Source organism: Homo sapiens, chromosome 12 (genome assembly GCF_000001405.40).
Source record: "Homo sapiens chromosome 12, GRCh38.p14 Primary Assembly".
Taxonomy (NCBI): domain Eukaryota; kingdom Metazoa; phylum Chordata; class Mammalia; order Primates; family Hominidae; genus Homo; species Homo sapiens.
In genome coordinates this window covers 100,292,381-100,305,563 of record NC_000012.12, presented here as the reverse complement: position 1 = coordinate 100,305,563, position 13,183 = coordinate 100,292,381, and the positions used below count along the sequence as shown (strand labels likewise).

The 13,183-nt window shown below is 44.6% G+C and overlaps 1 protein-coding gene across 5 annotated transcripts in view, besides 3 other annotated features; it reads right to left on the bottom strand.

Moving 5' to 3' along the window:
- SCYL2 (SCY1 like pseudokinase 2) overlaps positions 1-13,183 on the bottom strand; it is a 74,539-nt gene that overhangs the window by 36,152 nt on the left and 25,204 nt on the right. For 4 of the 5 annotated variants that reach the window (NM_001330253.2, NM_017988.6, NM_001330254.2 and 1 more), the window contains exon 4: positions 7,389-7,533. In NM_001330253.2, the coding sequence (NP_001317182.1) occupies positions 7,389-7,533 (145 nt within the window). Of the gene's footprint in view, positions 1-7,388; positions 7,534-8,666; positions 8,803-13,183 lie in introns of all 5 variants that reach the window. The other variant, NM_001330256.2, reaches the window with a different exon arrangement.
- Positions 9,039-9,333: a silencer, noted in NCBI's record as "tiled region #7724; HepG2 Repressive non-DNase unmatched - State 16:ElonW". NCBI's record gives its function as "represses a minimal TATA promoter and a strong SV40 promoter by Sharpr-MPRA in HepG2 cells {active_cell/tissue: HepG2}" and the evidence as "EXISTENCE:reporter gene assay evidence [ECO:0000049][PMID:27701403]".
- Positions 9,525-10,165: an enhancer, noted in NCBI's record as "H3K27ac hESC enhancer chr12:100689177-100689817 (GRCh37/hg19 assembly coordinates)". NCBI's record gives its function as "activates a minimal SCP1, AML or CMV promoter by ChIP-STARR-seq in naive H9 embryonic stem cells {active_cell/tissue: H9 hESC(naive)}" and the evidence as "EXISTENCE:reporter gene assay evidence [ECO:0000049][PMID:30033119]".
- Positions 10,166-10,807: an enhancer, noted in NCBI's record as "H3K27ac hESC enhancer chr12:100688535-100689176 (GRCh37/hg19 assembly coordinates)". NCBI's record gives its function as "activates a minimal SCP1, AML or CMV promoter by ChIP-STARR-seq in naive H9 embryonic stem cells {active_cell/tissue: H9 hESC(naive)}" and the evidence as "EXISTENCE:reporter gene assay evidence [ECO:0000049][PMID:30033119]".

The following is a 13,183-nucleotide window of genomic DNA, read 5'->3' as shown; positions in this document are numbered from 1 at the left end:
TTAGATCTTTTCTGCTTTCTCCTGTGGACATTTAGTGCTATAAATTTCCCTCTACATACTGCTTTAGCTGTGTCCCAGAGATTCTGGTATGTTGTGTCTTTGTTCTCATTAGTTTCAAAGAACTTATTTATTTCTGCCTTAATTTCGTTATTTACCCAGTAGTCATTCAGGAGCAGGTTCTTCAGTTTCCATGTAGTTGTGTGGTTTTGAGTGAGTTTCTTAATCCTGAGTTCTAATTTGATTGCACTGTGGTCTGAGAGACTGTTTGTTAGGATTTCCATTCTTTTGCATTTGCTGAGGCGTGTTTTACTTCCAATTATGTGGTCAATTTTAGAATAACTGCAATGTGGTGCTGAGAAGAATGTATATTCTGTTGATTTGGGATGGAGAGTGCTGTAGATGTTTATTTGGGCCACTTAGTCCAGAGCTGAGTTCAAGTCCTGAATATCCTTGTTAATTTTCTGTCTCGTTGATCTGTCTAATATTGACAATGGGCTGTTAAAGTCACCCACTATTATTGCGTGGGAGTCTAAGTCTCTTTGTAGGTCTCTAAGGACTTGCTTTATGTATCTGGGTGCTCCTGTATTGGATGCATATATATTTAGGATAGTTAGCTCTTCTTGTTGCATTGATCCCTGTACCATTATGTAGTGCCCTTCTTTGTCTTTTTTGATCTTTGTTGGTTTAAAGGCTGTTATATCAGAGGCTAGGACTGCAACCCCCGCTTTTTTTTTTGCTTTCCATTTGCTTGATAAATACTCCTCCATTCCTTTATTTTGAGCCTATGTGTGTCTTTGCACGTGAGATGAGTCTCCTAAATACAGCACACTGATGGGTCTTGACTCTTCATCCAATTTGCCAGTCTGTGTCTTTTAATTGGGGCATTTAGCCCGTTTACATTTAAGGTTAATATTGTTATGTGTGAATTTGATCCTATCATTATGATGCTAGCTGGTTTTGCCTGTAGACAGTGGGTGCAGCCCACAGAGGGCAAGCTGAAGCACAGTGTGGCTTCACCTCACCTGGGAAGCTCAAGGGGTCGGGGAACTCCCTCCTGTCGCCAAGGGAAGCCATGAGAGACTGTATGTCCCATGAGGGATGGTGCATTCTGGCCCAGATACTATGCTTTTCCCACGGTCTTTGCAACCCGCAGACCAGGAGATTCCCTCAGGTACCTACACCACCAGGACCCTGGGTTTCAAGCACAAAACTGGGCGCCGTTTGGGCAGACACCGAGCTGGCTGCAGTTTTTTTTTTTCAAACCCCAGTGGTGCCTAGAACTCCAGCGAGACAGAACCGTTCACTCCCCTGGAAAGGAGGCTGAAGCCAGGGAACCAAGTGGTCTTGCTCAGCAGATCCCACCCCCAAGGAGCCCAGCCAGCTAAGATCCAATGGCTTGAAATTCTTGCTGCCAGCACAGCAGTCTGAAATCAACCTGGGACACTCGAGCTCAGTGAGGGGAGAGGCGTCTGCCATTACTGAAGCTTCAGTAGGTGGTTTTCCCCTCACAGTGTAAACAAAGCCGCGTAGAAGTTCACACTGGGCAGAACCCACTGCAGCTGCAAAGCCACTATAACCAGACTAGCTCTCTAGATTCCTCCTCTCTGGGCAGGCATCTATGAAAGAAAGGCAGCAGCCCCAGTCAGGGGTTTATACATAAAACTCCCATTTCCCTGAGACAGAGCATTTGAGGGAAGAGGCAGCTGTGGGCACAGCTTCAGGAGACTTAAACATTCCTCCCTACTGGCTGTAAAGAGAGCAGCGGATCTCCCAGCACAGCACTCGAGCTCTGCTAAGGGACAGACTGCCTCATCAAGTGTGTCCCTGACCCCAGTGCCTCCTGACTGGGAGACACCTCCCAGCAGGGGTCGACAGACATCTCATACAGGAGAGCTCTGGCTGGCATCTGGCAGGTGCCTCTCTAGGACAAAGCTTCCAGAGGAAGGATTAGGCAGCAATCTTTGCTGTTCTGCAGCGTCCGCTGGTGATACCCAGGCAAACAGGGTCTGGAGTGGACCTCCAGCAAACTCCAACAGACATGCAGCAGAGGGGCCTGACTGTTAGAAGGAAAATTAACAAACAGAAAAGAATCAACAGAAAACATCAACATCAACAAAAAGGACATCTACACAAAAACCCCATTTGAAAGTCACCGACATCAAAGACCAAAGGTAGATAAATCCATGAAGATGAGGAAAAAACAGTGCCAAAAGGCTGAAAATTCCAAAAACCAGAATGCCTCTTCTCCTCCAAAGGATCACAACTCCTCACCAGTGAGGGAACAAAACTGGACAGAGAATAAGTTTGACGAATTGACAGAAGTAGGCTTCAGAAGGTAAGTAAAAACAAACTCCTCCGAGCTAAAGGAGCATGTTCTAACCCAATGCAAGGAAGCTAGGAACCTTGAAAAAGAGGAATTGCTAACTAGAATAACCAGTTTAGAGAAGAACATAAATGACCCGATGGAGCTGAAAAACACAGCATGAGAACTTCGTGAAGCATACACAATTATTAATAGCTGAATCGATCAAGCGGAAGAAAGGATATCAGAGACTGAAGATCAACTTGATGAAATAAAGCATCAAGACAAGATTAGAGAAAAATGAATGAAAAGGAATGAACAAAGCCTCCAAGAAATATGGGACTATGTGAAAAGACCAAACCTCCGTTTGACTGGTGTACCTGAAGGTGATAAGGAGAATGGAACCAAGTTGGAAAATCCTCTTCAGGATATTATCCAGGAGAACTTCCCCAACCTAGCAAGACAGGCCAACATTCAAATTCAGGAAATACAGAGAACACCACAAAGATACTTCTTGAGAAGAGCAACCTCAAGACACATAATTATCAGATTCACCAAGGTTGAAATGAAGGAAAAAATGTTAAGCCAGAGAGAAAGGTCGGGTTACCCACAAAGAAAAGCTGATCAGATTAACAGCAGATCTCTCTGCAGAAACCCTACAAGCCAGAAGACAGTGGGGGCTAATATTCAATATTCTTAAAGAAAAGAATTTTCAACCCAGAATTTCTTATCCAGCCAAACTAACCTTCATAAGTGAAGGAGAAATAAAATCCTACACAGACAAGCAAAAGTTGCGAGATTTTGTCACCACCAGGCCTGCCTTACAAGAGCTCCTGAAGAAAGCACTAAATATGGAAAGGAAAAACTGGTACCAGCCACTGCAAAAACACACCAAATTGTAAAGCACTGCAATTTCTATGCAACTCTTAGTCCTGGGCTGGGCTTAGAGTCAACTGACTAGGATGGCAAGTGTCCTAGGGAGATCTAGGGAGACAACAACTGGGACAGATAAGGGAGTGCTTGCACCACCTCCCCCACCCAACCCCAGGCAATGTAGCTGGCAGCAACAAAAGGGTCTCCTTCCTTCTGTCTGAAGAGAATAGAGTGAAGTGTAAAAAGGACTTTGTCTTGCATTTAGGTAACAGCTCAGCCACAGTAGAATACAGCACCAGGCAGTTTTAAGGGCCCCAATCTAGACCCTAGCTCATGGATGACATTTCTAGACACACCTAGGCCAAAGGGGACCCGCTGCCTTGAAGGGAAGGACCCAGTCCTGGCGGGATTCATCACCTGCTGATTAAAGAGCCATCGGGCCCTGAATAACCAATAGTGATACCCACATAGTACGCCATGGGTCTTGGGCTGTGCTGGCTTCAGGGCGGTGACCCAGCACATTCCCAGCTGTGGTGGCTATGGTGAAAGACTCCCTTTATTTGAGAAAGCAGAGGAAAAGCAAAGGGAACTTTGTCTTGCACCTTAGGTACCAGCTTGGCCATAGCAGGGAAGAGCACCAAGTGGGTTCTTGAGGTGCCCAAGTCCAAGCCTAGGCTCTTGAAGGCAATTCTGGACCAATCTTCCAGACAGAAAATCAACAAAGAAACATCAGACTTAATCTGCACCATAGATTAAATGGATCTCATAGATATTTACAGAACATTTCAACCAATGGCTACAGAATACACATTGTCCTCAAAGAATTCTTGAGTAATGCCCTACAAGTACAGGTAACCGAAGCAAAAACGGACAAATGGGATCACATCAAGTTAAAAGCCTTGCGCACATCAAATGAAATAAACAACAAAGTGAAAAGACAACCCACAGAGTGGGAGAAAATGTTTGCAAATGACCCATCTGACAAGGGATTAATAATCAGAATATATAAGAAGTTCAAACAACTCCATTGAAAAAAAAACTAATAATCTGATCAAAAATGGGCAAAAGATTTGAATAGACATTTCTCAAAAGAAGACATACAAATGGCAAACAGGCATAAGAAAAGGTGCCCAACATCAATGATCATCAGAGAAACACGAATGAAAACTACAATGAGATATCAACTCACCCAAATTAAAATGCCTTCATACAAAAGACAGGCAGTAACAAATGCTGGAGAAGATGTGGAGAATATAGAACCCTCGTACACTGTTGGCGGGGATGTAAATTAGTACAAGAACTATACAGAACAATTTGGAGGTTCTTCAAAAAACTAAAATTTGAGCTACCATACAATCCAGCAATCCCACTCCTAGGTATATTCTCAAAAGTAAAAAGGAAATCCGTATAGCAAAGAGATATCTGCACTCCCATGTTTGTTGCAGCACTATTCACAATAACCAAGATTTAGAGGCAAACTAAGTGTCCATCAACAGATGAACAGATACAGAAAATATGGTACATATACATAATGGAGTACTATTCAGTCATAAAAAAGGAGATCTTGTCATTTGCAACAACATAGATGGAACTGGGTGTCATTATGTTAAGCAAAATAACTCAGGGACAAAAAGACAAACTTTGAATGTTCTCCCTTATTTGTAGGAGCTAAAAATCAAAACAATTGAACTCATGGAGATGGAGAGTAGAAGGATGGTTACCAGAGGCTGGGAAGGGCAGTTGAGGGAGGTGGGGGAAAGTAGGGATGGTTAATGGGTACAAAAACAATAGTTAGAAAAAAATGAATAAGACCTAGAACTTGCTAGCACAACAGGGTGACTAAAGTCAATAATAATTTAATTGTACATTTAAAAATAGCTAAAGGAGTATAATGGATTGTAATACAGAGGATAAATGCTTGAGGAGATGGATGCCCCATTTTCCATGATGCAATTATTATGCATTGCATGCCTGTATCAAAGTATCTCATGTATAAGTATATATACCTACTATGTACCCACAAAAATTAAAAATAATTTTTAAAAATGGTTAAGATGGTATTTTGCCACAATTCTTTAAAAAATACAGCTAAGAGAATGACAAGATAAGCCAGATTGGGAGAAAATCTTTGTAAATTATGCAAATTATGTACTGTGTCCACACGTAAGTCAATAAGAAAACAACCCCTCAAAAAAATGGGCAAAGTATCTGAAGAGATATTTCACCTAAAAAGATATTCAGATGGCAAAGAAGCATATGAAAAGATGCTCGCTATCATTATTGATCAGAGAAATACAAATTAAAAGCACTATGAGATACTACTGCACACCTGTTAGAATGACTGATACCAAAGAGACCAAAGATAGCAGATTTTGGCAAAGATGTGAAAAAAATGAAATTCTTATATGCTGCTGATAGAAATGTAAAATGGCACAACCACTATGGAAAACAGTATCATTTTCTTAAAAAGTGAATCATACACATACTATTTGATCTAGCCATTCCTCTCCCAAGTACTTGATCAGGAGAAACGAATGTGTATGTTCATACAAAAACTTGTACATGAATGTTCATAGCAGCTTTATGCACAGTAGCCAAAAACTAGAAACAACCCAAATATTATGAACAGGCAAATGGACTAGCTGTGGTATATTCATAAAACTACTCAGCAATTAAAAAAAAAAAAGAATCAACTATTGATACACACAACATGTGAATCTCAAATAATTATGTTGGTTAAAAGAAGCCAGACCGAAAAAGAATAGGTACCATATGATTCCACTTATAAAATTCTAGAAAATGCAAATCTACCCATAGTGATAGAAAGCAGGTCAGTGATTTTCTGAGACAAGGGACAGACAAACTGCAAGGAAAAGGGGACAGGGATTACAAGGAGTATGAGGAAGCTCTTGGGGGTTACAAATAGATGCAGTATCTTGATCGTGGTGATGGTTTCACAGGTAAGTAAGTGTATGTCGAACTTATAAAACCACATACTTTGAATATGTGTAGTTTACTGTATGCCAATTATATCTTAATAAAGCTGTTAAAACGTAATAAAAATAATGTCTGCCCAAAAGGAACTTAGAATCTACTATATAAATTTATTCTATGGCACTGAAGATATTATTTTTGTTGTTGTTGTTGTTTTTTTAAGACAGGCTCTCACTCTGTCACCCAGGCTGGAGTGCAGTAGCACTATCATAGCTCACTGCATCCTCAACCTCCCAAGCTCAAGCGATCCTCCTGACTCAGCCTCCTGAGTAGCTGGGACCACAGGTGCATGCCACCATGCCCAGCCAATTTTTAAAATTTTTTTGTAGAAACAAGGTCTTGCTATGTTTGAGCTCAGGGTTGTCTCAAACTCCTGAGCTCAAGTGATCCTCCCTTCTCAGCTTCCCAAAGTGCTGGGATTACAGGCATAAGCCACCAAAGTCAGCTGTCAGGATATTATTTTGGTAAGCAGGGAAAGGAAAATCTGAAAAAATGAGCATATATGAAAAGGCTAGCCAGGCGTGGTGGCTCACTCTTGTAATCCCAGCACTTTGGGAGGCCGAGGTGGGTGGATCACGAGGTCAGGAGTTCGAGACCAGCCTGGCCAACATGATGAAACCCCATCTCTATCAATAATACAAAAATTAGCTAGGCGTGGTGGTGCACGCCTGTAATCCCAGCTACTGGGGAGGCTGAGGCAGGAGAATCGCTTGAACCTGGGAGGTGGAAGTTGCAGGGAGCTGGAGGTTGCAGGGAGGTGGAGGTTGCAGTGAGCTGAGATCGTGCCATTGCACTCCAGCCTGGGCAACAAGAGTGAAACTCCGTCTCAAAAAAGAAAAGAAAAGGCTAACAATACCTCTTGATATCACTAACTAAATTCCTTAAAGATAAAATTTTTATTTTTATCAAATACTTTATTTCAATTGAATGTTTTATAAAATGTATTCAGTTTAAGAATCAAAAGGAACCCACTCCATCCACTAGCCAATAAGTGACCCCCCAAAGGTTACCAATGTTATCAGTTTGATATATTTAAAATATTATTTAACCCGAACAACAAACTGCAGAAAAAATTTCCAGAACATAGGAATAATGACTAAATTACTAACAAGAACCAAAAGTTTACCTAAAATAGTTTTACATGGTTAATAAGTTTGAAATGCCAAAACCAATTTTAAAGGAAACAACTCTTTTTTACATGATGAATAAAAATACATACCTGAAGCAAACCATATTTGGTTTCTACATCATAAAGTTTATAATCCTTAATGTCTGGAGATATAGGGGAAGGTAGATTTTCCCAGTTACCAAGAACATTGGCTAAACTGGCAAAAACTGGTTCTGTACAAAATGCCAAGCAATCCCTGTTTTAAAAAAGAAAAAGTTATTTACTATCATATTATTACACATTATCAAAATCAAATATACATAAAATATTAGTGCTCCTATTAAACTATCAATAAGAAGGTAACTATTTTACATTTGTTAATTTCAGCATAGACATAATCCACTTAAACCAACAAAGTTAGGAGCCTCTGCATACAAATTATACTAGATAAATCACTCGGTCTTTTAAACTAAGTGTTGTGATAACTGCGATCTTTTTTAAAACTTAAAAAGTGAAAAAATAAAACACCACCTTGTTCAACCACCTTGTTCAAATGATTGATATTCTTTATGGAAAACCAATAAACTAATTCAAAATACTGTTACATTACACTTATGGTATTATCCTTATTTATTAAGGCTGTTAATTTTCAGAATACGCTCAAAGGAACTTCTGGATTTCCCACAGATGACCCTGGAATAGGAGTAGTCAGGAAGAGAGACAAGGCACAGCTAGCTCCAGTAGCCCAGTTCCCACTTCACAAAACAGCTTTGATCTATTTTATATGTCATTTTGAAAGGTGTCACAGTTATTAAATTTTTTAAATTACTAGTCTTTCATGTACAAGAAGATTTATAAACTCAGAAAATGTTAGATATTAACATTCAATGGCCTTACAGGGTAATGATCAAGAGCTCAGGCTTTGAGGACAGATACCTGACTTTAAGTCCCAGCATCCCTATGTGCTGTCTTGGTAACAATGGACACTACTGTTCTGAACCTCACTTCACCCATTTGTAAAATGGTGATAATAGACCCACCTTGAAGGGTTAGTATAAAGATCTAATGAGAAAATCATGTAAAATACATAAAGCATGTAAGCTCAATAAGCTTACCATTGCTATTATAATTACCAAGCATTTGCCACCCAAGCCCTAACACTTTAGGCCTTGGGCTTTAGGCTCTGGCAATGAAGAACTACAAAGTAGTACAGTAATGTGGCTACATAACAAGCTTCTGGGCCTGCATAGTAACTGTTAAATGGCAGTTATGTCCTTTAATTGATGTCTCATCTGTTCCAATACCTGAATAACTTTTCTTCTGCCTTAAATCTGTTTTTCAAATGAGAGCATATGCAGAAGCTTAATATATAAGAAATAAAAACAGAACTTAGGTTGAAGGTGAGAAATGGTCACATTGTCCTGCTGCCTGCTCAGCCATCATCAAGGAAGCTGCCTTGTTCTGTACTCCCAACACGTAGCTCATTAACACATTGGACCATAAGGCATGCTTTTGTTGAACTGTACTGTTAAAAAAAAAAAAACTGTCTTATAGACTTACATAGTGTCTTCTCTGCTAGGTCCCTTTGAATCTATTTTTTTTTGCTTCCAAACTGTCATCCTACTAAAATTACTGAATGTTACTAACAACTTCTCACTGGTCAAATGTAATGGATTCTTCTCTGTCCTTATCTTCTTTTTTATTCTGTATTCCCCAGTGTTAGCAGGTTCTTTTTCCTTCCTTTTGCTTCCATGACATGCTGCCAATTCTCCTGCCATACGACAATATTCCTCCTTTTTCTTTGGCTCTTGTTTTCCCTACATTTCAAGGTTCTTTCCTCAGTACTCTGCTCCTTTTACTCATACTCTTGAAAAACTCACTTTTTTTTAGGTTTTAATTACTGCCTGTAAGTGACTCACCCCCATATACATCACCAACTCTGGACTGTCATCTGAATTACTCTTTCTGAAGTGCATTTCCTTTGGGTAATTCCAGTGTCATGTCAGTATTATTAATTCATTAAAAACTGGAAGTTATCTTTTTCTTCCCTAAAGTGTCCCTATTTCTATCAATGCTACTACAATTTTTACAACCTAACAATTAGGACATCTTAAAGTAATCTTTGAATTGTCTCTCTTCATGATTGCCAATAAATTCCTAATTCTATAATATTTAAATCACCATACAAAAAGCTGCAGGGACACAGAAAAGTATAACTGATAGTCCTTCTCCCCTCAAGAGACTTGAAATGTAATTATGAGATATAAGACATGTAATTCTGCAGCATTCATTCAGGAAGCACTCATAAAGAGCCTACCAGGTGTCGGCCCTGGCCTGGGGCTGGGCTTAGAGCCAGGGCAGGATGGCCCGGCATCTGCTCCATGGAGCTCACAGCCCAGCCTAGGCTGGCAACTCCAGTCTGCCCCAGTTTCCAGTTCTGTCCATTCCCCTTGCAGCTCAGCATGGATGAAGCTTTGAAATCCAGCTCTCCCTCTCCCTCTCCCTCTCCCTCTCCCGTCTCCCCACGGTCTCCCCCGTCTCCCCATGGTCTCCCTCTCCCTCTCCCGTCTCCCCACGGTCTCCCTCTCCCTCTGTTTCCACGGTCTCCCTCTCATGCCCAGCCGGAGCTGGACTGTACTGCTGCCATCTCGGCTCACTGCAACCTCCCTGCCTGATTCTCCTGCCTCAGCCTGCCGAGTGCCTGCGATTGCAGGCACGCGCTGCCACGCCTGACTGGTTTTCGTATTTTTTTTGGTGGAGACGGGGTTTCGCTGTGTTGGCCTGGCCGGTCTCCAGCTCCTAACCGCGAGTGATCCGCCAGCCTCGGCCTCCCGAGGTGCCGGGATTGCAGACGGAGTCTCGTTCACTCAGTGCTCAATGGTGCCCCGGCTGGAGTGCAGTGGCGTGATCTCGGCTCGCTACAACCTCTACCTCCCAGCCGCCTGCCTTGGCCTCCCAAAGTGCCGAGATTGCATCCTCTGCCCGGCCGCCACCCCGTCTGGGAAGTGAGGAGCGTCTCTGCCTGGCCGCCCATCGTCTGGGATGTGAGGAGCCCCTCTGCCTGGCTGCCCAGTCTGGGAAGTGAGGAGCGTCTCCGTCCGGCCGCCATCCCATCTAGGAAGTGAGGAGCGCCTCTTCCCTGCCGCCATCCCATCTAGGAAGTGAAGAGCGTCTCTGCCCGGCCGCCCATCATCTGAGATGTGGGGAGCGCCTCTGCCCCGCCACCCCATCTGGGATGTGAGGAGCGCCTCTGCCCGGCCGCGACCCCGTCTGGGAGGTGAGGAGCGTCTCTGCCCGGCCACCCCGTCTGAGAAGTGAGGAGACCCTCTGCCTGGCAACCGCCCCGTCTGAGAAGTGAGGAGCCCCTCCGCCCAGCAGCCGCCCCGTCTGAGAAGTGAGGAGCCTCTCCGCCCGGCAGCCACCCCGTCTGGGAAATGAGGAGCGTCTCCGCCCAGCAGCCACCCCGTCCGGGAGGGAGGTGGGGGGGTCAGCCCCCCGCCCGGCCAGCCGCCCCGTCCGGGAGGGAGGTGGGGGGGTCAGCCCCCCACCCGGCCAGCCACCCCGTCCGGGAGGGAGGTGGGGGGGTCAGCCCCCCGCCCGGCCAGCCACCCCGTCCGGGAGGTGAGGGGTGCCTCTGCCCAGCCACCCCTACTGGGAAGTGAGGAGCCCCTCTGCCCGGCCAGCCACCCTGTCCAGGAGGGAGGTGGGGGGTCAGCCCCCGCCCGGCCAGCCGCCCGGTCTGGGAGGGAGGTGGGGGAGTCAGCCTGGGGGAGTCAGCCCCCCGCCTGGCCAGCCGCCCCATCCTGGAGGTGAGGGGCGCCTCTGCCCGGCCGCCCCTACTGGGAAGTGAGGAGCCCCCCCGCCCGGCCAGCCGCCCCGTCCGGGAGGGAGGTGGGGGGGTCAGCCCCCCGCCCGGCCAGCCGCCCCGTCTGGGAGGTGAGGGGCGCCTCTGCCCAGCCGCCCCTACTGGGAAGTGAGGAGCCCCTCTGCCCGGCCAGCCGCCCCGTCCGGGAGGGAGGTTGGGGGGTCAGCCCCCCACCTGGCCAGCCACCCCATCCGGGAGGGAGGTGGGGGGGTCACCCCCCCGCCTGGCCAGCCACCCCTTCCGGGAGGGAGGTGGGGGAGTCAGCCCCCCGCCCGGCCAGCCGCCCCGTCCGGGAGGTGAGGGGCGCCTCTGCCCGGCCGCCCCTACTGGGAAGTGAGGAGCCCCTCTGCCCGGCCACCACCCCGTCTGGGAGGTGTGCCCAACAGCTCATTGAGAACGGGCCAGGATGACAATCGCGGCTTTGTGGAATAGAAAGGGGGGAAAGGTGGGGAAAAGATTGAGAAATCGGATGGTTGCCGTGTCTGTGTAGAAAGAAGTAGACATGGGAGACTTTTCATTTTGTTCTATACTAAGAAAAATTCTTCTGCCTTGGGATCCCGTTGATCTGTGACCTTACCCCCAACCCTGTGCTCTCTGAAACATGTGCTGTGTCCACTCAGGGTTAAATGGATTAAGGGCGGCGCAAGATGTGCTTTGTTAAACAGATGCTTGAAGGCAGCATGCTCGTTAAGAGTCGTCACCACTCCCTAATCTCAAGTACCCAGGGACACAAACACTGCGGAAGGCTGCAGGGTCCTCTGCCTAGGAAAACCAGAGACCTTTGTTCACTTGTTTAGCTGCTGACCTTCCCTCCACTATTGTCCTATGACCCTGCCAAATCCCCCTCTGTGAGAAACACCCAAGAATGATCAATAAAAAATAAAAAATAAATAAAAAAAAAACATGTAAATACAACATAAAATAACAAGGATAGGTAGGATTCTAATAGGTGACACTAGAGACGCTGATAGAAAACACTCCAGAGGAAATAGCACCAACAAATACAGAGTCAGGAAAGTGTAGGATAAGTGTGGGAAAACCAGTCTACTTTGGGATACAGGATTCACAATAGTATTACATAACAGACAGAAACTATAGTGTTCTGGGTTTATCCATGAAAAGAAAGGCAATAAAAAATATTTTTATGACAAGAGACATATGAGCAAGCCAGGTGCAGCAGCATGCACCTGTGGTCCCAGCTACTTGATAGGCTGAGGCAGGAGGATCACACAAGCTCGGGAGTCCAAGGCAAGCCTGGGCAACAACAGCAAAACCCCACCCCAAAAATTAAAAAAGAAAAAGAAGAGGCCAGGCACAGTCACTCACACCTGTAATCTCAGGGAGGATCACTTGAGGCCAAGAGTTCAAGATCAGCCTGAGTAATATAGCAAGACCCCACTTCTACAAAACAAAAAATTTTTAAATTAAAAATCAAAAAATTAGCTGGGCATGGTAGCACACACTTGTAGTAGTCTACTTGAGAGGCTGAGGCAGGAGGATCACTTGAGTCCAGGAGTTCGAGGCTGCAGTGAGCTATGATGGCACTACTGTAATCCAGCTTGGGCAACAGAGTGAGACTCTTGTCTCGATCAATCAACTGACACATTAGCATATTTTTGGGTAGATGCAGCATGGTGCAGTAAAAAATAAAAACAGGGACTCAGGAATCAGAATGACAAAATGAATCCTAGCTCCAGCACTTAAAACCATACAGTTTCTTTGATCCTCTGTTCTGTGTAATTGTGAGAATTAGATGAATTAAACAATGTAAAACATTTAGCATAGTTTTTCACATAGTAAATGTTTGTATTTTTCCTTTTATGTTTAAAAAAAAGATCTTGTGCCTTTGAAGGGTGAGATGGTAGAAAGTGGTTATTGAGGATTCCAACGTAAGAATTGCAGAAACTCAATATATAATAAAAGATAAAAGCAAAACTGTACAATTGAAGGGAGATGGGACCTTCATCCCACACAGCCTGGAACCCTGCCAGTTCTGTGTCCTCCACTTTCCCATTCTTCCCCTATCCTTAAAAATCCTAAG